The 26,949-nt window shown below is 47.7% G+C and overlaps 1 protein-coding gene across 1 annotated transcript in view, besides 1 other annotated feature; it reads left to right on the top strand.

Moving 5' to 3' along the window:
• Positions 1 to 26,949, top strand: part of GRID1 (glutamate ionotropic receptor delta type subunit 1) — a 767,244-nt gene that overhangs the window by 273,380 nt on the left and 466,915 nt on the right. The window lies entirely within an intron of this gene.
• Positions 1,560 to 2,084: an enhancer, noted in NCBI's record as "H3K4me1 hESC enhancer chr10:87851089-87851613 (GRCh37/hg19 assembly coordinates)". NCBI's record gives its function as "activates a minimal SCP1, AML or CMV promoter by ChIP-STARR-seq in naive H9 embryonic stem cells {active_cell/tissue: H9 hESC(naive)}" and the evidence as "EXISTENCE:reporter gene assay evidence [ECO:0000049][PMID:30033119]".

Below are 26,949 nucleotides of genomic sequence, written 5' to 3'. Positions count from 1 at the left end.
TTTGTTTCATTTGTCTTTTTTTTTTTTCAGTTTCATTTAGTTCTGCTCTGATCTTGGTTATTTTCTTTCTGGGTTTGGTTTGTTCTTGTTTCTCTAGTTCCTTGAGGTGTGACCTTAGATTGTCTGTGCTCTGTCAGACTTTTTGATGTAGGCATTAAGGGCTATGAACTTTCCTCTTAGCACCGCCTTTGCTGTATCCCAGAGGTTTTGATAGGTTGTGTCATTATTGTCATTCAGTTTGAAGAATTTTTTAATTTCCATGTTGATTTTGTTTTCAAACCAATGCTCATTCATGAGCAGGCTATTGAATTTCTATGGATTTGCATGGTTTTGAAGGTTCCTTTTGGAGTTTATTTCCAGTTTTATTCCACTGTAGACTGGGAGAGTGCTTGATATAATTTGAATTTTCTTAAATTTATTGAGACTCATTTTATGGCCTATCATATTGTCTATCTTGGAAAAAGTTCCATGCGCTGTTGAATGTGTATTCTGCGGTTGCTGGATTGAATGTTCTGTATATATCTGCTAAGTCCATTTGTTCCAAGGTATAGTTTAAATCCATTGTTTCTTTGTTGACTTTCGGTCTTGATGACCTGTCTAGTGCTGTCAGTGGAGTATTGAAGTCCACCACTATTATTGTGTTGCTGTCTATCTCATTTCTTAGGTCTATTAGTAATTGTTTTATAAATTTGGGAGCTCCAGTGTTAGCTGCATGTATGTTTAGGATTGTGATATTTTCCCATTGGACAAGGCCTTTTGCCATTATACACTGTCCCTCCTTGTCTCTTTTAGTTGCTGTTGCTTTAAAGCTTGTTTTGTCTGATATAAGAATAGCTACTCCTGCTCGCTTTTGGTGTCCATTTGCATGAAATGCCTTTTTCCACCCTTTAAGTTTATGTGAGTCTTTATGCACATAAAGGTTTGGTCATTTAACATAATCCCAGACTTCTTGGCAGCTTTGTTCATATTTTCTTAGTCTTCTATCTTTGTCTTTGTTGGATTGGGTTAATTCAAAGACCTTGTCTTCAAGCTCTGAATTTGTTTCTTCTACTTTTTCAGTTCTATTGCTGAGACTTCCCAGAGCATTTTGCATTTCTAGAAGTGTGTCCAAAGTTTCCTGAATTTTTTTTCTTTAAGCTAACTATTTCCATGAATACTTCTCCCTTCATTTCTTGTATCATTCTTTTGTATTTCCTTGCATTGGGCTTCACCTTTCTCTGGTCCTTCCCTGATTAGCTTAATAACTAAGCTCCTGAATTCTTTTTCAGGTAAATCTGGGATTTCTTCTTGGTTTGGATCCATTGCTGGTGAACTAGTGTGATTTTTTTGGGGGTGTTGAAGAGCCTTGTTTTGTCATTTACCAGGGTTGGTCTTCTGGTTCCTTCTCATTTGGGTAGTCTGTCAGAGGGAAGGTCTAGGACTTAAGGCTGTTGTTCAGATTCTTTTGTCCCATGGGGTGTTCCCTTGATGTAGTACTCTCCCCCTTTTCCTGTGGATGTGGCTTCCTGTGAGCCGAACTACAGTGATTGCTGTCTGTCTTCTGGGTCTAGCTACCCAGCGAGTCTACCCGGCTCGGGGCTGGTATTGGGGGTTGTCTGCACAGAGTCCTGTGATGTGAACTGTCTGTGGGTTTCTCAGCTATGGATACCAGCAACTGTTCTGGTGGAGGTGGCAGAGGGTGCAGTGGACTCTGTGAGATTCCTTAGCTTTGGTGGTTTGATGCTCTATCTTTGTGCTGGTTGGTCTCCTGCCAGGAGGTGATGCTTTCTGGAAAGCATCAGCTGTAGCACTGTGGAGAGGGACCGGTGCTAGGCGGGGCTCTAGAACTCCCAAGGTTATATGTCTTTTGTCTTCTGCTACCAGGGTAGGTAGGGAAGGACCATCAGGTGGGGGCGGGGCTAGGCGTGTCTGAGCTCAGACTCTCCTTGGGCCAGTCTTGCTGTGGCTGCTGTGGGGGATGGGGGTGAGATTCTCAGGTCACTGCAGTTGTGTACCTAGGAGGATTATGGCTGCCTCTGATGAGTTATGCAGGTTGTCAGGGAAGCGGGAGAAAGCTGGCAGTCACAGGCCTCACCCAACTCCCACGCAAACTGAAGGGCTGGTCTCACTCTCACGGTGCCCGCCACAATAGCCCTGAGTCTGTTTCCAGGCAGAGTGCGAGATGGGCTTGAAAATTTGCCCAAGGCTATCTGCCTCCCACCTGGGAGAGAAAAGGGCTTGGTTCTTGCCCAGCCTGTGAAGTCTGAACACCAGATTTGTGCCCTTCCCCAAGTTCTGGCCAGGAGTCTTCTCACCCCGCTCAAATTGTTAAAAAGTTCAGCTAGAGAATTCCTTCTCCCTGTGGAGTTTTACCCCCTGCTTCTCTGTCTGCCATCCTGATGGATCCCTGTGGTTCCAGGAAGGAATGGGCTACTAGGGGACCCAGTGAGCTCCCAGGGCCTTCTGCTGCTTCCTATACCCCTGTATTTCACTCGGTCCTCTAACTTGATTCAGCTCCAGGTAAAGGCGGAAACTTCTCCCACAAACAGACCTTCAGCTTCTCCAGTGGGGGTGTGTTCAGGAGAGGAGGGTCTCCCTTTCCCACTTCTGGAGTTGGGATATTCACAGTATTTGGGGTGTCTCTTGGGTCCTGCAGAAGCAGTTTGCTTCCTTCAGAGGGTCTGTGGGTCCTCTCGGAATTGCTGGTTTGTTCTTGGAGTCAATCTGGAGCTAAAATTCACAATGCAAGCCTCTGTATTGCTCTGTCTAGACCTGCAGTCTTGACCTGCCTCCTGTCTGTCATGTTTCCCTGTAGCCATTATTTCTTCAAGTACTTTTTCAGCCCCATCTTCTTTCTCCTTTCCTTCCAGGACTCCAATGACACAAATGTTAGATCTTTTTTTTTTTTCATAGTCTCACAGGTTCCTGAGGCTATGTTCATTTTTTTAAAATTTCAGTCTATTCTGTCTCTGTTGTTTAGACTGGGTAATGTATATTATTATATCTTTTTATTTTTTATTTTTTAAGACACAGTCTCACTGTGTTGCCCAGGTTGGAGTGCAGTGGTGTGATCTCAGCTCACGGCAACCTCTGCCTCCCAGGTTCAAGAAGTTCTCCCAAGTAGCTGGGACTACAGGTGTGCACCACCATGCCCACTATTTTTTTTTTTTTTGGCATTTTTAGTAGAGATGGGATTTCTCCATGTTGCCCAGGCTGGTCTTGATCTCTTGGCCTCAAGTGATTCCCCCACCTCGACCTCCCAAAGTGCTGGGTTTATAGGCGTCACCACCAGGCACGGCCATATCTTTTAGTCACTGATTCTTTCTGCTGTCTCCTCTTTCAACTGAGCTTTATTTTTGGTTATTGTATTTTTTAGTTTTAAAATTTCCAGGCTGGGCACGGTGGCTCACACCTGTAATCCCAGCACTTTGGGAGGCCAAGGCAGGTGGATCACCTGAGGTCAGGAGTTCAAGAGCAGCCTGGCCAACATGGCGAAACTCCATCTCTACTAAAAATACAAAAATTAGCCAGGTGTGGTGGCGTGTGCCTGCAGTCCCAGCTACTTGGGAGGCTGAGGCAGGAGAATCACTTGAACCTGGGAGGTGGAGGTTGCAGTGAGCCGAGATCACGCCATTGCACTCCAGCCTGGGTGACAAGAATGAGACTCCGTCTCAAAAAAAAAAAAAATTTTTTTTTGTTTGGTCCTTCTTTATATATTGTATTTCCTTGCTGAGATTTTCTTTTTTCATTTGGTTCAAATACATTTGCAATTGCCCATGGAAGCATTTTTATGCTAGCTGTTTAAAAATTTTTGTCAGATTGTTCTTTATGATTTCATCATCTCAGCGCTGGAATCTATTGATTGATTCAGTTTGAGTTCTTCCTGGATCTTTGTGTGAATAGTGATCTTCATTTGAAACCTGGAAATTCTGGGGAATTACGTTATGAGGCTCATGGGTCTTCCTTACGCCTTCTGTTTTAGCTGGTTTCTTCTGATACTACTCTGGTGAGGGGGTTGCTGTCTCATTATTGTCAAATGAGGGTTCCAGGTTCCAAATGAAGTCCAGGTTCTCCTCTTGGTTTCCTTTGAAACCTGAGGTGGAGGTTCTGTGTTGCTGCTGGGAAGATGTGGAAGTTCTGGCTCCCTACTGAAGCCACCACTGACCCTTCCCTGGCTGGGAGAAGTAGGGATGCATCGTTACTGCTCCCCAGATGGCCTTCACTGACACCATGTAGGGGGGCGGTGTGTTTGTGAACTCTTTATGGCAGTGGTATAAATTCTGACTCTATACTAAACCCTTTTGGATATGACCCAGCTGGGCAAATGGGGACTTCATTTCAGCCTGGTGAAGATGGGGAGTCTGGGATCTGCACTCGGGCTTTGCTGGTGTTGGGGAGGTGAAACCGCACTTCCTTTCTGGAGTGTTTGGCTGGAGTGTGGTGGCAATTATCTGAAAGTTTTCTGTCTTGGTAGCCTACCCCTTTCCTGGACCTTTGGCTAGATAGAGCAGGACTTCTGTTGATAGCATTTTTTTTTTTGCCTGCATCTATTGATCTTTCTGGGTTGCTGAGTTTTCTGCTGCAAGTCTGCAAAATATGAGGCAAAAAGAAAACTCCAGACCTCAACATCATGTCATTCCTCAGGTCCTGAGGTCCTGAGCTGGTCTGCCTTCTTCTCTTCATTGAATAATCCCCAGACTCTTCTTATGTTTGTTTTCTGTACAATGTTTGGGCTTTTTAGTTGTACTTAGTGGGGAGAATAAGGAAAAAGTATGTCTACTCCATTTCCCTGGGAGCAGAAGTCCCCACTCTGGCCTGCCCTCAACCATGAACCCCCAAAGTTTTCATCTGAAGTTCCTCCCAGCAATCTCTAATTTGCCCTGGAGAAGTGGAGTCACTGTTTCAGAGCTGGGATCCCCATGCTCTCTGGGACGTGACAGCTGTTCTTTAAGCAGAGAGATACAAAATTAGTCAAAGTACAGTTGCTCATTTTTCAAACATGTTTAATGACAGAATACATTTGCATGCTAAACAAGTATATCTGGATTCTAAGAAAGTAAGGAATCTCAAGTGGGGGATATTTATTTAGTTCTGAATTAACAGATGTGATCTCTCTCTCTCTCTCTATCCCTCTCCCTCTCTCTCTTTTCCTTCTTATTTACCTTTTATCCCATTGTTGTCTTTTAATTAAACAATTCCTTCACAGGATGTTCCTTCATTGAGAATTATTAAAGATGTAAGCCTTCCTTTATCAAACAGCGGGCTGTGTTAATTATTGTATAGACTTTACATTTGGCTCTGGGGAAACTTGAGAATTGGGTGAGAGAAGGTGCTTCATTAATTGGTTGAGCAAGATTGTGCCTTTAATGGATACAAAGCCACGGAAGCGTTTGTGGGGCTGGAACAGTCCGCGGTTGTTGGCGAGGACAGAGGCGGCCAGTGTTGGGAGCTCTGCAGACAGTTCCTGCTTCTGCACTGACTGTAGGACGTGCTCTGCATAAGCAGATAGAGGACAGAGGGGGTGGGGAGGAACTAGCACTATAGGGGCCTGACCCAGAGCTGGTGGCTGCACCACCATCCTGAGCAGAGCCATGAAAACTTAGGCTGCCTTTGCACGGTGGGGTCTCAGTGGTTGCGGGCTGGGAGGGAGGTGGGCCAGCAGCCATGTGGTAGAGAATGGGAGCTTCTCCCTTGTGCTATCTGTGCTGGGCTGCACATCTCTGTGATACTGGGAGATTGTGTGGACAGGGACCCAAGGGTGTTCTGAGCTTTCCTTCTGTTAATGAACAAATTAGTTGGTTGTGATTATTGGACACATAGGAGTGGCCAGTGAAGGAAAACAGAAAGAGCTGGCCTGGTCTCTGTCTTGTCAGTTTTCACTCTGGAGGGGAGGCAGAAAACACACACACACACACACACACACACAGACACACACACACACTTGGATCTTCTTGTAGAGACACAGGTATAAACAGTCTCAGGAACAACCTATCACAACAGGTCTGTACACACACATACACAGACACCCCGGACACACACACACAGACTCCATTATGCAGACACTCACAACACACACACACACACACACACACACAAACACACTCAAACCCACATGTACATTCATGCCATATACTGGCATACTAACATATTACACACAGACACATAGATGCTCAGACACAAGAGCTCCCCCGACAGACACACAGACACACACACATCCATCCATCTTCTAATATAGAGGTGAGCATAGAGGCAGGATGGAGAAGACCCAGATGGGAAGTGTGTATAAGTGTGTATAGCCATTACAAAGGAATCAGAAGCTTGTATTGGTTCCATGCCCCATGCCTTCCATGTAAATACATTCATTTTTTAACCCTAAACTATTGGTAATTTTGTCTCTAGAGACTCAGGTGTGTTCATTCCTTTGACATACACAGGCAAGAAAGCAAAGGAACTTAAAACAACGACAGTGCATGTATGTACAGCTCTTGAGTTTGCAATTAGTTCAGCCAACTTTTACTGATGCTCAACTGCAGGCCCTGTGGAATGTCCTGGGCATACAGCTGTGAAAAAGATGAGCTCCTTCTGTTCCATGAGCTCCTGGACTTTCAAAGTGAAGTCATGTTCAGGAGCCTGGGGGCACTGACACACACTCACACAAACACCAACACACACTGTCCACACACATATATCTGTGCACATATGCACACACACAGACACTTGCACACAAGTACACACCTGCACATGCCCATGCACACACATGGACACTTGTGCACACTCCTGCACATATACATGCACACACATGCTTGCACACACACACACTTGCGCACACAGGCACACTCAATTGTTTCATTTGCTTATAACCCCCTGTGGGTTCTGCAGAACCCTCAGACAGGTGTGGCTTTGAGTCCCAGCCCTGTCGCTGACTATCTGTGTGATGGTGGCACTCAGTCTCCCTGGGCTCGCTTTCCTCATCTGTAGGGTGGGAACAGTCGTTCCTATTTAAAAGCAATCTCCTGATAGATCCAATAAAACAATGGGTGCGGAAGTGTTTGGCAGATCATATTCATCTGTTCATCCATTCTACAAATATTTTTGACTCCTAAGTGTCTAGTGCCAAATCTGGGTGCCAGGCCAAAAATAACAGACAAGAGCAGACCCCAGCCCTCATGGAACCACAAAGTAGAAGGAGGAGAGACAGTAAATGAATAAACAGAGATGGTATAAGTGGAGCAGACAATTGTGGAGGGTGGTGAGTTCTGTGGCAGGAAGGAGCCAAGGGATGTGATGGAGAATAGCTAGGTGGTCAGGGAGGGCTTCTTGGGGGTGGTGATTTGAGCTGAAGCCTGAAGGAAGAGCATAGGTCAGCCCTGGGGACATGGGGAACAGCACTCTGATGGGAAGGGACAGTGAGTGCAAAGGACTAGAGGCTCCAAAGAGTTTGGTGAGCTTGAGGAACAGAAAGGCCCAGCTGGGCTGGGGTGTGGAGACCTGAGAAAAGAATGGGCTGAAGCAAGCTCGGGATGCTGGGCAATGCCCAGGCCATGGGTCCCGATGGCAGTGGGAGAGCCTGGGTTCTGCTCTTGGGGCTCGGTGAGTATCAGAACTCTTCCTAATTCCCCAGCCTGTTCCTGGTTTGATGCCACGGGCTGTGGGATCAGCAGGGACCTTCGGACTGATGTCCCCTGCCTGCAAGTCCTGAAGACCCCTGGGATCCCCAGGGATATGGAGACCATTGGATGGAGGTGACAGCTCTGAGCTGCCACCTGCCTTCCTGGTGACCAGGAAATAAAGGAGATGTTCCCTGTGACTGTCCATTTCATTCTGTGAGAAGACTCAACTTTATTTACTTTGTTCCTAGGGGTCAGGCAGGAGGTTACCTTTGAGGGTATTCATCTTCCCCACCCAGGTCCCTGGAGCACCAGGACTCTTGGAGAGTACAATTGGGAGAGTACACATGTCTCAGCCGGCCCAACCAGCTGTGCTCTCTCGACCTTTCCTGCTTTCATGCCTGTTTTCCACATTTTCTCACACTTGCCTGCATCTGCCAGTTCCACCCTAACTTCTTGCCCTTGGGTGCCTGCGCCGTCCTTCTGAGGCTGGCACTGGAGGTCCACGGAATGGCAGTGGCAGGGCAGAGCCCCTGTGGGCAGGCAGACACTGGCTGAGCCCCGAAAGCCCAGGGAAACAAGCCGAGGACCCAAGGTTCCAGGCTGCCTCTCCAGCTATTCCTGGAGGGGTTTTTCCTGCTCACTCCAAAGGTAGGTGTCTCTGCCCTCCCATGTCTGGGGCTCATCGAAGCAGTGAGAGAGAGGCTTATCACGGGGGTTTCTTCCTGAAATGCTCTTCCCTGGAAACTCCTCTTCTTTCTTTATTTGTTTAAATATACATTGCATGCGTATTGGTAAAATACATAACATAAGATTTACCACGTTAACCATTTTTAGGGCATTAGGTACATTTTCAGTGTTGTGCAACCATCACCACCATCCGTTTCCAGAACTTTTTTATTAGCCCAAACTGCAACTTTGTACCCATGAAACAATAACTCCCCATTCCTCCCTCCCCTCAGTCCCTGGAAACCACCATTCTACTTTCTGTCTCTGTGAATTTGACTGCTCTACATAACTCATGTAAGTGAGATCATACAGTATTCTGTTGTGAGCGGCTTACTGCACTTAGCATAATGTTCTTAAGAGTCATTCATGTTGTAGCATATGTCAGAATTTCCTTCCTTTTTAAGGCTAAGTCATATTCATTGCATGGATAGACACCATTTTGTTTATCCATTCATTAATCCGTCAATGGACACTTGAGTTGTTTTAGCTATTGTGAATAATGCTGCTGTGAAAGTAGGTGTGCAAGTATCTCTTTGAGACCCTGCTTTCACTTATTTTGGGTATATGTTCAGTGTTGAATTGCTAGATCATAGGGTATTTCTATTTTTAACTTTTTGAGGAATTGCCGTACTGTTTTCTACAGCAGAATTTTTATTGATAGAAATTTTACATTTCTGTCAATAGTGCATAAGGGTTCCAATTTCTTCACCTCCTCAACAATACGTATTTTCTTTCTTTTTCTCCCTTCCTCTCTTCCTCTCTCCCTCCCCTCCTTCCTTCCTTTCTTTCTTTTGATAGTAGCCATCCTAATGAGTATAAGGCCTCCTCATTTTTAAAGACACAGGTCAGTCATCACCTCTTCCAGGAAGTCTTCGGTGGTGCTCACAGCCTGGCTGGGCACCTAGGGCGCCTCCTTCAGTGCCCTAGGCTTCCCTCGATTGCATTTGTGTGTGTACCTACTACCCCGTCACTGCTTTGTGAGTCCCGAGGGACACACCAGATATTCAGTGCATGTCCTTCCTGCCATGCCAGGGCCTGATCACAGGAGGCACACAGGACATCTTTGTGGAGTGGATGCACAACAACCAGACCGAGGCTGATGTCCAGCAGGGACTCCGGATGCAGTGAAAGAAGCCTCGCCCCTTCCCTTGGGACACCTGGAAAGCTTTTTGTGGGTGTGGGTGCAACCCTAGAAAGCAGCCTCCTGTTGCTGCAAAGTCTCATGGCTGAAAACACGCAAGTACAACTTACGAGCTGAACTGGAGTTTGGTGTGCACTGGATTGGGGTATTCAGGTGGAAAGCTGCCTGCAGGGTGCATGCTGAGTGGAGGTCATTGGCTGTGTTGGCCAAGGTGACCTGATTCCTGAAGGTAATGCTGGCAGATTTATCATTCTTCTTCCTAGGGATGAAGATAGCGACATAACTTATATTCCTTGTGATTTAATGACAGACCCTTCATTTCTCAGAACGGACCAGAGACTTGGATCTGAAGATAGGATGGACTTTTACTATCACTTGGAAAAGGAATATAAGTTGTAGTTGTTCCCCATCGCTTCGTGCAATGTCCGCTTCTGAAACAAGATTTAAGGATCAGACTTCTTGACAACAGTTGTCTCATGACAGCGAGGAGCGAAATTCACTGGCTGCGGTTGAGACCAACTGTGTGTCACATTGTGCAAAACCACCATGCACTTCACTGCTGTTCTACAGCAGCACAGGAGATAGCATGAGCGACACCACGCTGGGCTTAGAAGATGGAAACGATGGCATGGAGCTCCCAGGTGGCCACACACTCAGGGACAAGTTCTCCCCGCCAGTCCTCAACCGCTACGAGAGCCCTGGTACCCTTCTAAGAAAGGGCATCTCCCAATAAGTGATGCTTTAGATACAACTGCATGAGAATATAATGTTCAAGGGGAGAAGAAAATGCTGCTTTGAATTCCAAGTTCAGATGGGAGCCAGGCCACGTGACATTTCAGTCCACTTGCACTCACCTGTTCACTCAGTCATTTCACAGACTTTACTGAGCCCCCACTATGTGTCTGGCTTTGTGCTGGGTGTAGTGACAAAGATGAGCAATGTGACATCTTTCATCCTCCAGAAACTCTTGGTCTAGTGGAGTGAAAAGGCAGACAATTCCTTGCAGGAATAGAAACAGAAACCCAGAGCTGAGATCATCAGCTGCTTCCACCCGCTCTGTCCTTGCCTGCTGGGAACACACTACAAAGGAGGAAACATTTGAGCCACATTTCAGAGAATGGAAGCAAAGAAAGGGGGCAGGACAGTGCAGGCAGAGGGGACAATCTGTACACAGGTGCAGAGTCATGGTTTGGGCAGCACTGAGTGGTGGGGCAGAGGGAGGCGTAGGGTGGGGACTTGAGGTTGGAGAGTCAGCTTTGGCCTGGGGGGCTAAAAAGTTTTTGTGGGTTGTGTGAAGGAGCCTGTGCTTTATCCTGTGGGAAACGGGGCACCTCCAGAACTTGGGAAGAGGGGCAGTGGCCCTGTTGGATGAGTTTTCTTTGAGGCTGTCTCTGGCAGTAACATGGGGATGGGTTGGAGTCTGAGGGACCAGTTAGAAGTTATTGCAATGGCCCAGGTGAGAGATGATGAGGACAGGGTGCAGGGGAATTTCCAAGGAGGCATGCTTGCCTAGAGCAACCACAATTTTGCTTAAACCCAACTCCCTCCCTGCTCTGCACCTGCCGCTGCCCCTGGGCAATGGAATGCTGTTGGCAGAAAACACATAGCCAGGCTGCAACTGGCCTCTAGGAACTCCACCTGCCCTCAAATGGGTCCTTCATGCTGCAGGATTATTCTACTGCACTGCCCAGGGCTATTTATATCACGTGTTCCCTCCCCTCAAACCTCTGAAACTGCTTCTTCTGTAGTTACGTCTTGCTATTATTTTTCCTTTTTTGAGAAAATTAAGGGACTTTACTTTTTAAAGCAGTTTCGTGTTTACAGAAAAATTGAGGAAAAAGTACAGTGAGATCCATGTAACTGCCTCACTTTCCCCCAATTTCCTCTATTATTGATATCTTGAATTAATGTGGTATAATTGTTACAACCAATAAAGCAATATCTGTACATTCTTATTAACAAAGTTCATAGTTCACATTAGGATTCACTCTTTGGTGCTGTAAATGTTATGGGTTTGGACAAATGTGTAATGACATAAGTTCACCATTATTAGTAGTATGCAGAATAATATCACTGCCCTGAAAATGCTCTGTGCTCTGCCTATTCATAGGCAACCACTGATTCTTTTACTCTCTCTATAGTTTTGCCTTTTCTAGAATGTCATATGGTTGGAATCATATAGTATGTCGCCTTTTCAGATTGGCTTCTTTCACTTAGCAATATGCATTTAAGTTTCCTCCGTGCCTTGTCATGGCTTGATAGCTCATTTATTTTTAGTGCTGAATAATATTCCATTGTCTGGATGTGCCACAGCTTATTCATTCACTTACTGAAGGACATTTTAGTTACTTTCACATTTTGGCAATTGTGGACAAAGCTGCTATAAACACAATGACTTTGCTTTTTAATTTACTGAGAAAACGGGAATGATGAGGGCAGAGCTGATCTGTGCATTCACTGCCATGTCTATCAGCTTCCATCGTCTGTGGCCATGAGCCTCCTCTTCTGTCTGATGTTGAGCAGAAACACCGTGTGCTCCTTCTAAAGGCAACCCCTTGGATACTAGAAATAATTCCCTGTCACCTACATAAGGGTGGAATTCTTGCATTGTCAGTTTCTCCTTTTCAAATGGATCATATCAGTCAGCTCTCAGGCACACTGTAATACCCACCATCTCTGCACGGCCCTCTTTGCATCCATTTTCATCCCCAGCCCCATTTCTCTGCTCCTCTTTGAGCAAAACTCTTCAAAATAGTTAACCTTGTCTTGAACTCCTGGGCCAGCCTGGGCGACAGAATGAGACCATCACAAAATAATAATAATAATAATGAGATAGTTACCTTTACTTGCTGTTTCCACTGCAGCTCTTCCCATTCTCTCAGGAACCCCTCTGCAGCAGATGCTGGCAGTGATCACCGCCCATCCTCCTCCTCTCCCTTGTCAGTGGGCTCTGCAGCATCTGCCTCTCTGTGTCTGGGGCTTTTTCTGGAACCTTAAAGGCCATGTTTTGCTTGCACTCAGAGCAGGTTGGAAGTGAGGGAATTAGTCTACCTGGGAGCATTCTTCAATCAGAGATGGTTGGAGTTGGTGTGTAGATACCCTGTCCCCTGTCCCTTGGTGGTAAAATCTGGCGGTCCAAATTCTGCATTGTTTCCCTACTAGAGGAAGCTCCAGTCGTCTGTGTGGAGATTTCTTAGTGTGCTGCTTTTCCTTCCCACTTGCCTAATCCCCCCAGTTTTCCCTGCGTAGCACAAATGTACCTCTTGCACTTGACTCCTTGTGTCAGAGTTTGCTTCTGGGGACTCCCACTCAGACACTCCACTCTCCAATCAGGAGGATGCCGGGCATCCTACAGATGTTGCTCCTGGGGGCCAAACCTAGTGGTGAAAAACCCTGGGCTTCATCTTACTCCATTTCTTCCTTTTTTCCTTCCTTCCTTCTTTCTTTCTCCTTTCCCCTTTTCCCTTTTCCCTTTTCCCTTCCCTTCCCTTCCCTCCCCTCCCCTCCCCTCCCCTCCCCTCCCCTCCCCTCCCCTCCCCTCCCCTCCCCTTCCCTTCCCTTCCCTTCCCTTCCCTTTCCTTTCCTTTTTCTCTCTCTTTTTTTGTCTCTCTCTCTCTTTTATTTTTTCCACATAGCCTTGCTCTGTTGCCCAGGCTGGAGTGCAGTGGCACGATCTTGGCTCACTGCAACCTCTGCCTCCCGGGTTCAAGCAATTCTCCTGCCTCAGCCTCCTGAGTAGCTGGGATTACAGGTGTGTGCCACCACGCCCAGCTAATTTTTATATTTTTAGTAGAGACGGGGTTTCACCATGTTGGCCAGGCTGGTCTCGAACTCCTGACCTCAGGTGGTCCACCTGCCTCAGCCTCCCAAAGTGCTGGGATTACAGGCGTGAGCCACCGTGCCAGGCCCTTACTCCGTTTCTTAACAGCCTTCGGCCATGGTGGTCACTTCCTTGCACTTGTCCTTTGGGACATGGTTCCCTTTTGGGTTTCCTCCTCTACCGAATGGTCCTTTCAGATTTCCCTGCTAGCTGCTTCTCACCTTCCTGCCCCTTGCACCCACTGCTAGGGAGGTTAACCAGAGTATTGTCTACAGAAAGGAAATAACGTCCGCTTAAAGAAGAGTGGGAGTTAATTTACTCTATAACTGTTAGGTCAAAGGGGGAAGTGACCCTGTTTAAGTGTCTGACATGCTCTGGTCACTTTGCACCCATTAACTCGTTTGATCTTGAAAATAGCCGCATGATGGAGGTGCTTTTTATCACCATGGACAGAGGAGGACACGGAGGCCCAGAGAGGTTGCATGACTTGGTCAAGGGCACCCAGGGTTGGTGCTGGGATTTGGAGCCGGGTGTCTGTCACATTCCATTTCTTTTAAGGAGCTGCTGACTGAGACAGCTGTGTTCAAAGTGGACCCTGGTTTCTTTCTTGGCTTCTATTTCCCTCACTTCCTGGTCTGATGGATGTTTTATTCCCTCCAACCCAGTGCCCAAGCCCCTTGATTTGGCTAAGCCCTGGAGCCCTGGAGCCCTGGAGCGAAATGCATGATTAAATCATCTACAGTGAGGAGCCCCAGGGACTCGCAGGCAGCCCTTGCCCCCACCAGCCTAGAACATTCAGCCTTTATCAGGGAGAACCAGGATGACTTCAGAGATTCCTTTTCGGAACTGTGTTCAAAGGGTAATCAGCCCCTATCCAGGCCATTTGCTAAAACAGGGCTGAGTAATTCAACAGGCCGCTCCAGGAGGCTGCTGTGACTCAGCTGGTGCTGTTGAGCTGCTAATGGGCTTCCTGGAAGTGTTGGGCCCCATGTCCCCACACTCACCTCTCTGAAACCTGTGCTGCTTCAGTTCAAGGTACTGGGTACAACAGGGAGTCTGTTTATGCTGTGTGCGGGGGATGAGCAGCTGCTGGGCTGTTACCCAGTTTCTGAGTGCTGTGCTGACGGGGGTAGCTCCGTCCCAGCCAGAGGAGGTCTCCCTTATGCCTGTTGAGCCCCCTTAAGGGTGGACCTGAGTCTACACAGCTTCTGACATAGAGCTGGGTCCAGGGAGTCTACCTGTCAGGTTTGCACAAGAGAGGAAACCCTTGCTGGCTCCCCTCAGGGGCATCCATGCTGGGTGCTGGGGGAAGGCAAACACAGTCCCAGGGATTTAGCTGCAAGGCCAGGGGGCTGGGGGTCCTAGGTTCCATGGAGAAGGCTGGGGCCAGACACCTTCCTGCCTCTCCCGAGCCCTCATGCCTGGCTCCCATTGCCCAGCCAGCCCTAGGCCCCCAAGCGTTCTTTGAACAGTGGAAGGGTCCGGTGCTGAAGGCAGGGCTGTGTGTTCCCATTATCAATCTCATGTCTTATTCCTTGCTCAGGGAAGACAAGACAGGAAGCAAGGCTTTTGAGAACATGAAGTCTTTTGAGAAAGAAGGTATGAGTCCCAGGTTTATGTGACAGAGAGATGAGAGTGTGAGAGGAGGCAGGGCAGGGGGATGGCTTGTGGAGAAGCTGCTGCAGGCCGCGGAGCACCCGTTCCACCCACTGTCTGTGCCCAGGGCAGCCAGCTGCTGACCGTCCCCAAGAGGACATTTCTAATTTACAGATTTCACACTTTGCAATAAAGAAGCAGCTGTGCATTTTAGCAGGAAACTGGAAGGAGGCAAAAAGCCCAGGCAGAAATGGATCAATTGTGTTGTCCATTAAAATCGTTCCAGGGCTTTGCTAAGCACATCCCTGGAGTTGTCGCTGTCTCCTGGCCTCTGGGAAAGATAAGCTGTATGATCACAGCCCTCTTCTAGCTGTGGAGATGAAAATCAATCCGTATGCATTTCCTTGGAGATGGCCCATGGATGGGCAGGATCAGGCCTGCCAAGGGAGGCATGAGTGCCGGCCCTGGCACTGCCAGTTCCCTCTAAGCCCAGGTCCTGGAGAACCCTTGAGTCTCAAAGCGGCCAGGCTGGCCATGCATCAGGATGTTGGCTCCTGAAAGCCCCTTGGGCAGCCTCACAGGATCCTTCCCAGTGAGCCTTGGAGTCAAAGCTTCTTAGGCTTGCTTTGTAGGCCAGGCCAAGTGAACCATTTTACTGTCACTGTCCCTTCAGTCACTTAATGTCCATGCCCTGTTTCATGCAGACTGTGTGTGGGGCTGAGGTTGAGTTTTTTTTCCCATCCATGATTTGTCTGCTTTCAATCTATGTATTCCTCAGCTTCCCATCCTAATATCCAGCTCCCAATATAGGTTCTCAGAGGGCTGCAAAGAGCTCTCAGTCTACAGGTGGGGACAGTGGTCAAATTAGAGTGGGGACAGACTCCTTTTTCTTTCAACGCACACGAATCACTGGCCATAGCCACACAATATGTGTTCGAATGGAGGTCTGTGCAGGATGTCTACACACATGGAGACGTAGCAGATAGCATGATTGCGTCTGCAGGGAGCAGGGAATGCTTTGGAAGAGGAGCCCTAGTGCACTAGGTTTAGGTGGGACCGAGCTCAAAGTGGGAAGGGCACTCCAGGTTGGAATAATGGGGTGTGCAAAGGTGTGGTTGCTGCAGACTGCAGGGTGTGTTCAGGCAGTGGGTGTGTTTTGGAATTCTTGAATCAGAAGGTTTGTTGGAAGACTTGGTGGTGACCAGATCAGGAAGGGCTTTGGAGACTGTCCTGAGGAGTTGAGGCTTATTCTGTAGGTGATTTGGAGCAAGTGTGGGAATGAGCCACTGAGTATCACTGTGCAGCTGAATGAATGACCAAATGCACAAAAGGAACGAGCAAGCTTCACTAAGCATGACACCCCACAGTGAGAGGCCTGGGAGGAGAGTCCAGCTCAACTCACCCACCATGGTCCCCGCGGAAGGCTCCTCGTTTGTCACTGTCCCACCCTGCCAGTTTGACTCAGTATGAGTTGAATTGTGTCCCCTTCCAAAATTCATATGCCAGAGTTCTAACTCCAGTACCTGCGAATTTGGCCTTATCTGGAAATAGGGTTTTTACAGAGATAATCAAATTAAAATGAGGTCATTAGAGTAAGCCCTAATCCAACATGGCTGGCATCCTCATAAGAAGGAGAAATTGCGAGACAGACACAGGGAGAAGGCCATGGGAAGAAGAAGCCAGAGATCAGGGTGATGCTGCCACAAGCCAAGGAAGGCCAAAGGTTGAGCAAACCCTCAGCAGCTAGTACAAAGGCAGGGACAAATCCCCCTCACAGCCCTCAGAAGGAACCAATCCTGCCAACAGATTGCTCGCCATGATGTGGGTGGGCCTCACCTAATCAGTTGAAGGACTGAATGGCCCAAAATGCTGACCTCCAACCAGCACAAGAGATTTTGGCCGGAGGACTGCCTTTGAACTTGAACTGCAACATGAGGTCATCTATGGGTCTCCGGTCTGACAGCCCCCCTCACAGACTGTGGACTTGCCAGCTTCCGCCATCACATGAGCCAATTCCTTAAAATAAGCCTCTTCCTCTCTCAATGCACACACTTCTTACTGGTTCTGTTTCTCTGGAGAAGCCTGACTAATACATCAGGTTTGGCCAGACTGTTGCTGAGAGCAGCAGCTGCCGAGCTTCAGGTACCCCAGACCAGCTGGCCTGAACTCCAGTGATTCATGACCGACTTCCACATTTTTATCATATCTTCATATCACCTGTTAATTACTTACTGTTTCTTTCTTTAAACTTACTGTTTCATTACTTAAATGTTGTCTCATCCTCAATCATAATTTTCTTGAAATCATGGCTTGGATATACTAGCAGGGAATGTTTACCCAATTATAATTAATTAAAATAGATAGATCACTATTAAAAATGTTTGCCCATGTCCTACCCATGTTTAATCTGATAGAACTTGTGGCAGCTAATAACAAGTTGAGAATAGGTGAGCCTTTCCCAGAAAATAGGGGCCATTTGATTTAGATTTCACAAGTCTTTCCTCCTTGCTTCCCTCTCTCCTTTAAAACTTTACTAAGCACCTACTAGGTGCCATGCCTAGGGCATGAGCTGGGGATACCAGCATGAGTCTTGGCCCCAACTTGCTTGGCTCCGTGGGGAGAGTCAAGACACCAGCCATTCGTGTGCTGGGGAGGCCCAGTGGTAGGCCTATTTCTAGCTGCCCTATGGTGCCCTTCACATACAATTTCATCTGAAGTTTCCTTACATTCCTGGCCAAACTCACTGTATGTGGTGTTTTCTGTTTGCCTATGAGCAGAGGGTCCTCTGCGTGTTCTCTGAGGAAGTGCCATGTGCCTCATGCTTGCCTCCCCTTGGACATCTCTTCCAATACAAGCCCTCCATCCTGTTGATTTATGGTGGCCACGGGCAGTGTCTAGGCATGGGAAGCACCTGGAGGAACCTTGCTGTGCCTGTGGGATAGTTTGCTAGGGCAGCTGTAACAAAGTACCACAAATGGGGTGGCTTATGCAACAGACATGTATCATCTCACAGTTCTGGAGGTTGGAAGTTCAAGATCAAGGTGTTGGCAGGATTGGTTCCTTCTGAGGGCTGTGAGGGGGATTTGTCCCTGCCTTTGTACTAGCTGCTGAGGGTTTGCTCAACCTTTGGCCTTCCTTGGCTTGTGGCAGCATCACCCTGATCTCTGGCTTCTTCTTCCCATGGCCTTCTCCCTGTGTCTGTCTCGCAATTTCTCCTTCTTATGAGGATGCCAGCCATGTTGGATTAGGGCTTACTCTAATGACCTCATTTTAATTTGATTATCTCTGTAAAAACCCTATTTCCAGATAAGGCCAAATTCGCAGGTACTGGAGTTAGAACTCTGGCATATGAATTTTGGAAGGGGACACAATTCAACTCATACTGAGTCAAACTGGCAGGGTGGGACAGTGACAAACGAGGAGCCTTCCGCGGGGACCATGGTGGGTGAGTTGAGCTGGACTCTCCTCCCAGGCCTCTCACTGTGGGGTGTCATGCTTAGTGAAGCTTGCTCGTTCCTTTTGTGCATTTGGTCATTCATTCAGCTGCACAGTGATACTCAGTGGCTCATTCCCACACTGATTTGCTCATTCACACATTATGCACTTCATTTGTTCATTCATTCAGCAACTACAATAATATTCAATGACTTCCTCCTTCCCTGTATCATTCATACATCGACACTCATCCCATCATTCATTCATTTGAACACTTCTCAAGGGCAGATGGAGCCCTGTCCTGCACCATCTCTGTGTAAAAGCTGAAGCCAAATTTTAATAACACATTCCTTTCCATCAGAGTGCTCTTCAGGGCTCAGAAAGTGGGAGCACTGCTGAGTTCTATCCAAGGAAAGGGAATCATTATATCAAAGGGTTACTTGACCCCTATGTTTACTGTGGCACTGTTCACAATAGCAAAGATGTGGAATCAACCTAAGTGTCCATCAGTGGCTGAATGGATAATGAAAATGTGGTATACTCAGTGGACTATTAATCAGCCATAAAAAGAATGAAATTATGTCATTTGCAAATTATGTCAATTTCATCATCAATGACAATGAAATTATGTCATTGCATAAATTAGGTCATTATCTTAAGTGAAATAAGACGGGCACAAAAAGGCAAATATCACATGTTCTCATTTATATGTGGGAATGAAAACATTTGAACACGTGGCGGTAGCGGGTAGAATGATAGTTCTCAGAGACTGAGATGGACGAGTGGGAGGGAGAGGGGAGGATGAAGAGAAGTGGATTAAAGCGTACAAACATTTAGAAAGATAGAAGGAATAAATTCAATGTTTGATGTCAGAGCAGGGTGACTATACTTAACAAAAACATATTGTGCTTGGGTGATGGACACCATGGCTTGATCGCTACACATAACATGCAAGTAACCAAATTTCTCACCCACCCCATACATTTGCGCACGTAAGAAAATAATAAAAAAGAAAGTGGAGAGGGATTTATTTTTGTCTACTATTTGTTTTGAACAGATGGACTATTGAGCTATCTCCACTTCTTCAAAGTGGCTGTCACTTGATTTCTTGGCTACTTCTACTCAGAATAATGGGAATTTCCCCCACCCTCCCCCAGACTGGTCAGATGGAGAGCTCTGTCCTGGGTGCATTTGTTTAAAACCAGAGCGCCTGTCTGCTGCGGTCCTGACTGTCCATATCTCTGAGCAAGAGGAGAGAGAGCCCAGGTGCTCAGTCCTGTCAGCCAGGCAGGGCATGTGGGTCTCTTCTTTTTGACCCTCTGTTGTGTCCAGGTCCTTAATCTTGCTCTGAGGATTCCAGCCAAGTGATGATGTTTCATCACTGATCGTGGTGCCTTGGGCAGCTTCACCCTGGCATCAAGTGGTGCCCACCTTATGATCCGGAGCTCAATGGAGCTTGAGAGTGCCCTTAGTTGTCCCTGGAAGACAGGTGTGCATGCCAGCTTCCTGCCAGCAGGGCCGGGCCCAGCCTCCTTCACCCCCTGGATCATTCCAGCAGGAGGCAAGAAAACATCATCACTAGCAAACCCTGTTTCCAGGCTGCATAACCACACCCCCAGGGAACCCACCAGACAGTTATACTGTTGGGGTGCACAATGGAAAGCAAAACTGTCCCAGGAAGAAGCCAGTGGCTTCTGTGCGATGGCTACTCTCCCAGCACACAGATGAAGTCTGGCTTCACCCTACCCCAGTGTGTAACAGGGAATAAACACCAGTCCCCCTGCTGCACAGAGCTGGAGTGTAACTGAAAGGAGGTTGTGCTGAATAAATTGGTCCCTCCCTCAGGGGTGCTCTGTTGGAGAGAAAGGCTGTGTGATGAGTATGGATTCGTCTGTTTAGATGTTTCTGGAGTCTCCATTTGGCTAATCATTTTAATCAGAATTTATTTCACTTACTGCAATATCTGGGGGTGTTAATGCCTCCTCCTAAATCCCTTCAACAAACAAAGATTTTTTAATTACTAACAAACAACTTACAAACTGGAAACATGAGTGGAGGTTGTAGCTCTTTATTTATTCTTTATTCTCAATACTCACAAAGCCACACATCTGGATGAGAATTTCTGGAAAAATTCCATCAGCTATCTTCATGTTTCCAAATATTATGGCTTTGGCATTGGGTAGATGACATAACAGAATTAAAAAGCATTTCATCTCACCTCCGTGCTGTGTAGGCACTAGCGTGTGCTATACAGGCACCTGCGCCTTTCCTAGACTGCAGCAGTGTGTGTGCAGTGAGGACAAGTAAACCACTTGTTTTTGTACACTAGCAAAGGCCCTATACTATCTCCTTGGTGTAGAGTTAGGTCTGAGACCGTGGAAAGGGGTGGGGTAGGTGGATGAAAACCCATGAAGAAAAGCTGACGTTAAAAAGGAGAGATGTTCAATGTGCTAATCAGACCGAGCTCCCTTGGGCTTTTGAGGGTAATTATTTTCTCCTTACTAATTTGGAAAGAATTCATCTTACTTTATTTCTATACTGCTATCTTTAATTACCTCTGCTACTGAAAACGTATCTGTATTTCCTGAGATGTGTTTACATTTCTTTACCCAATAAAATAAAAAAAAACGAAAGAGTAGTTATGGACTCCTCTGGGTAAGATGAGGAAATAACTTGTATTGTCTGAGAAAAAACATCGACTGGCCCGAAAAATGGCTGGACATTGCCTTTCCCATGAGTCTTCTTTTAGCTCCCTACCTGTTTCAAATTGCAGAAGCTTCTCCTGGCACCTGGCCCTTGGTTAGTGATAAATCTTAGTTTACCATTTTCATCCTCGTGTGAGCTATGATAGATTTTTTTTTGGAGGAAAGTTGACTGAGGTATGGATTGTTGCCAGACACTACCTTAAACTTGAACGTCTGAAATATAAAACTTACCTTGTTCCTCTGCATAAAACATATCCACACTTCCTGACGACCCCAGAATAATGTCCTGCTCCTTTAGCTCCCAGAAGGCCCTTAGAGACTAGGCTACCTTTCCTTCACCCCCGGTTCCTCCCATCTTCCTCTCACCTGACAGTAACAGCAAATGACTCACAGTTTCTTCCTCGCACCAGCCCCTTCTCCCCTCTCTTGGCATCTGCTCACGCAGGTGTCTCTGCCTCCCACTCTCTTTCACTTCACTATTCCTTTCACCCTTCAACATTTACTCAGGTTCTGCCTCCTCCTCCAGGAAGCTGTTCCTGACCACCTCTCCCACTGGCTGGGGCAGTTCCTCTCATGGTAGTCTGGGTTTCCCTCTCCTTTACTAGATCCCAAATTATATGCACCACAATATGGATCATTTATGTATCTCCAAGTAGACCATGAGCTCTTCAAGGCTGCACTTGCCCCACCTCCCCACCACCTCCCTCAGCATGCCTATAGCACAGAACCTGGCAGGTAATGAGTGCTCTGAAAATATTTGTTATCATCTGTAAAAAGAAAGATGTCAATGTTGGCTTACTAAAAAAGGAAGGCTTATGAGTTTAATGGAGCAAGGGCAAAACTAGAAAAAGGCAATGGCTTGGATTTGCAGAAAGGTGTTGCTTTCAGAGGCTGTAATCTGAGTTATTATTTGCTGAGCATCTCACGCTATATCACGTTGCACCTGTGAGAGTATTGTGGACGCAGTTTTGTGGATGATGGACCAGAGACCCAGAGGTTAAGGAACTTGCCGAGCTTCTATAACATGAAAGGCAGAGCCAGGATGCAAGTCATTGTGCTACCAGCCTGTTGCATTTGAGATCTGTGCAGTTATACCAGGTGGGGTGGACATTCTGAGTGGCAGCAGGTCTGCTCTATCTTCCCAGGACAGTGAGCCCATTTCCCTGCTGTCCCAGTGAGCTCTCTCAGCACAGGCTGGATATGGGTTGTCTGTACCTGTGTGTGCCTATTGTGAAGCGGGGGCATTCTCCAATTGAGCCTGTTCCTAAGCAGTTATTCTTGTTGGAATTTTAAAATCAGCCAAAGCAATGAAAAACATTCACATAAGTTACCTCAATACTGGAAGCAGATAAGCTGAGGGTTGCACACCCAGAGGCCACCTTTTTTCAAATTCACCTGCAGTGTGTCAGCTTGGGGTCAGGGTGAGGTGCAGGATTGGCCCCTGGAGATGCAGGTCACAGATGAATGCCTTTTCAGTGGCTTGCAGGGAGGGAGATGTGCATGCAGTGGTTCTCTTCCCAGATGCTTCCCTCTTTATTGGTTTCTCTCCATTAGCCTGAGAGCTCCTCCAGGGTAAGAGCAAGATGGGATTAATCCTGTTACTCTCTGTATCAGCTGGGCCTAGCTCAGTGCCTGGAATAGTCAATGAATGTTTGTTGAAAGACTACTTAACACACAGATGAGTGGGTGGATGTAGGCATGTGTGCAGGGATGGATGAGGGGCCAGGAAGAAGTGTCTGGGTCATATCACAGAGATGCTTTCTTGTGGGCTGTCCTGAAGGTTCTGAGAAGGCTGATGGATAGTTCCCAGTGTCCACTGTGGAGAGAAAGGAGCTTCGGCACCCTGCAGGATTCCCTTCACCAGCTCCTGTTCCAGACACTAATGGCAGGCAGGATGGATGTCAGGAAAAGGCATCTGGTGCCTGTGCCCATCCCAGCCTGGTCAGGGCAGCATTTAAGATAATAATCTTAATTTATGCCAGGAAGAAATAGCCTCCCTATGGAAGGTTTGATTCTGGAAAGACACTCTCTGGTAGAGATGGGGCTGGGCAAGGGGTATGGACCACACAGTCTGACCCTGCTCCCATCAGGGGTGCATGCTTTGATTTCCACAACTGGCACAGACACTCCCAGTGCCCCAATGCCTTCTTCCAAGGCTGGATGGCTGTTACTCCTCTGGTTAGCCCAGCCCAGAGGAATTTAATTCCAGAAACGCTTCCAAGCTCTGAGGAGGAATAACAGGCCAATGGGGAGGTAAGCATGAGATGCAGGAAGCATAAATTATCGGCTTTCCATTCCACATCACTTCTGAGAGATGGTCTCTCAAACTCCAAAGAGCTGGCACAACCACAGCACCTCTCTACCCAGGCTCCTGGCTTTCCTTCTGCAAGCTCATTGCCCTCTACAGGCACCATATCACGACCCACAATGACCCAGGAGTTTCTTCTTCGGCATCCCTGTCTTCCCATGGCCAAGAGTGAGTGGCCCCTCTCCCCTCACCCATGCACCACTCACTTGGGGCTTTCTGGGTCTTCTGCACCAGGAATGATTTTTATCTACACATCACACCCCAGCTGAGGCATAGAGGAGTGTTATGGCTAACAGGAAATGAAGACGCTGGCTGGACTAGCTTGCCTTGTAACTTCCCGGACATCTTTTCCACTGAAAACAAGGTTCAGCATGGTCTTACTGATGAAGCTTCTTGGCCGTTCAGGATGTCGGGGAAGGAGGCACTCTTTTATTTATTTATTTATTTAGAGACGGAGTCTCACTCTGTCTCCCAGGCTAGAGTGCAGTGGTGCGATCTCGGCTCACTGCCAGCTCCGCCTCCCGGGTTCACGCCATTCTCCTGCCTCAGCCTCCTGAGTAGCTGGAACTACAGGCACCCGCCACCACACCGTGCCAATTTTTTGTATGTTTGGTAGAGACGGGGTTTCACCGTGTTAGCCAGGGTGGTCTCGATCTCCTGACCTCATGATCCGCCCGCCTCGGCCTCCCAAAGTGCTGGGATTACAGGCGTGAGCCACTGTGCCTGGCCGGGAAGCACTCTTGACTGCAGCCCTCTCAGGGCGAGGCTCTCTGGTCTGGAGCAGCTCCATCCCCTGGTCCCCAGCCCCTGAAAGCTGGGTTCTGATTATAATTCTGCTCACATCACCTCCCCTTGGCAACTGTTACATCATCGTGTCTGCAGTGGCAGGTTTGCAGCAAACCTGGCCCAGGTGAGCAGAGCCCCCTCCTGCCAGCAGCTGTCATTAGAGAGCCTGAAGTGCATAAACACCTCCACGCCCTGCCCTTCCCTGGCCCATCCTCAGTCCTCCCAACCTAACCTTCCCCAGCAGTCTGCATATACTCCCCCTTCCCACAGCTTCTCCAGGAAATTGTTGGGTCTAATCAAGCTGGAGACTAGGGGCCTGTGGAGCAGATTGGAGTTTCTGACTGTGGCAGGACTTGCTGGACACTGGGCAGGGGGTGATTGGAGGCAGAATGGCAAGCCCGTGAGAAAGGAGCCTCTCTTTCCTCCCAACTCCTGATCACGCATGCTGCCTGCCAGCAGAGAGGGCACTTGGACAGTAATTAATACCTACAAAGGGGTGGCACATTTCACTGTTGGTTTTGTTTTGATTGGAGTGAGGCTATCTGCCTTCTTAGGATGCCTGTGTCCTTGGGTGACACCATCTGAGCAAGTTGCCTCCCTAGACGCTCATCACAGAGCACATTTTAATTCAGCTGGAGCGTGTGTGACAGTATCTGAGGCACCGTCGCTGGCAGTAGGCTTCTTTACCTTTATTGAAGCTGTTAGCTCTTTAGGCAGGAGCCCCACGTGGGAACATTTGCCTCAATCTATTGACCAGTGAAATATACATTCTGAATTAAAATGTAGGGTATGTTTTATAATTGGGAATCAGAGAGGTGGCAAGTGGTTAGTTTCTTGCCAAGCAATATGTGAAGGTTCTATTTGGGGATGGCGAGGAACGCACAGAATGGTGATTTGAACTCCTCAGTGGGGGGAAGTTTTCTCTCTCCCTGCTGGTCTTTCAGCTTTCAGTCTGGTATATATTTTCAGATCTTTTTTTAGAGCTCCATTCTCTCTTCTCCTGACTTCACATAGCCCCTTGTAAACATGGGGAAGTAACGTGGTGACATGCAAATATGTTTGCATGAATTTCAGCATCAACCACACCTGGGTCACATCTTGCCTTTGCCACTGAGGAGCCATGTGACCTTGGCCAAGTCACTGTCCCATTCCGAGCCTCAGTTTCCTTATCTGTAAATGGCGACGTTTTCCCATACTCCACAAGTTTGCTGAGGAACGTTAGTGAAATAGTGAATGGAAAGTGTCTAACACAGAGCCAGGCACAAAACAGTGTTCCAAAAATCGTAGTTCTAATCCCCTCTCCTTTTCTCCCTGCTTAAGTCTGACTCCTTGGAAGCAGAGCCTGGCATTGCAGAAGTGATTTATCCAGGGAGAGCTCTCTGGTAAAATCCTTAAGGATGTGGAGGTAGCAGGATGGGGCAGGGGAGGAAGCTTGGCACAGCGGGGTCTCAGCTGAGTTCAGGCCTTGGCCTGATCTTAAGGGGAGCTCTGGCATAGGAATGGCACCACAGAGTCATCATGGCTTGAGGCTAAAGGGCTGGAGTTTTGTGCCCCATAGTGCTCACTCACTGACTGTGGGCCACCCCAGTTGGAGGGCATAGCCTTCCAGGCCTTTCTGTGTGAGGCAGAGGCCTTTGCAGTTCTCAGGGGCCTTTGCCCCAGCCGCTGGGGATGGGCACACCCGGTGGTGGAGGGGATCTGGGTGGGGAACCGCAGTGCCTGTCACCTTCCCCTTGCCTATTTTAAAACCTTTTATCCCAAGAGTTTTAAAAAATCAGCTGTAAATATAAGCATGCTCAAGAAAGTTTTAACTACATTCCCAAATACCTGATGCCTCCCAGTTTGTAGATTCTCTGGCTTTTTGGGGTGAGGTCTGTGAAACGCTCTTTACTTACGCAGTCCCTTGGTGCGCAATATCCTGGACTAGCCACAGGGCAAGCCTGACCTGCCTCGTGACTCAAAAGTGGTGGAGATGCAGGCTGCTGCTGTCTCAGGATCAGTTCCAAATTGAGAAGCTCCCCAGGTTTAATTGGCCAACCCTCCAGCGTGCATGCAGAGCGCGGAGGCTCTGTACTGCTGGAGCCGCCTCTAATCAGCATTTGCTAAGGTTTATTAACACCTTATCAGTACTTGGGACGGCTCAGTGTATACTCCCTTGTCAGTGGCATTATCTCACGCTAGGAAATCTGAAAACATTAGATGGCGAAGGCATCCTGCGTGCCTCATTAGTTGTTCAAAGTGTGCATGGTTTGAGGACCATTAAGGGGGATTCCATCAGCTCTATGCGCTATTAAGGAAGGGGTGATTGATAGGTGAGTCCTATCTGGAGGCTTTGTAGTTTCAAGGGCTTCATGACAGGTGTGACAGTGGCCCGCGGAAAGCCCCAGGCCCTACCAGCACCTATGGGATGCTTGTGCCGGCGCGGCCCCTACCAAGCGTTCTGGGCTGTGGCTCTTGGTGTTTGCCATCTAAGCCCATTGCCACTCTGCAGTGACATCTAGGCACATTTCCTTAAAGGGGAGGAGGTGGCCTGATGACAGGAAAGAGCACACAGAGCCTCCTAACTTAGGCAATGGCTTGAATTTGCAGAAGAGTGTTGCTTTCAGAGGCTGTTAACTGAGTTATCATTTGCTGAGCATATCACATTATATCACATCACACCTGCAAGAGTATTGTGGACCCAGTTTTGCAGCTGATGGGCCAGAGACTCAGAGGTTAAGGAACTTGCTGAGCTTCCATAGCATGATGGGCAGAGCCAGGATACAAACTTGGGTTTGACCTCCCTCAGCTCTGCCACTTATAAACTGTGTGAACTTGGGTACTTGGGTGCATTCTTCAGTCTC

This window comes from Homo sapiens, chromosome 10 (genome assembly GCF_000001405.40).
Source record: "Homo sapiens chromosome 10, GRCh38.p14 Primary Assembly".
NCBI lineage: Eukaryota > Metazoa > Chordata > Mammalia > Primates > Hominidae > Homo > Homo sapiens.
This window is presented reverse-complemented; position numbering and strand designations above follow the sequence as displayed.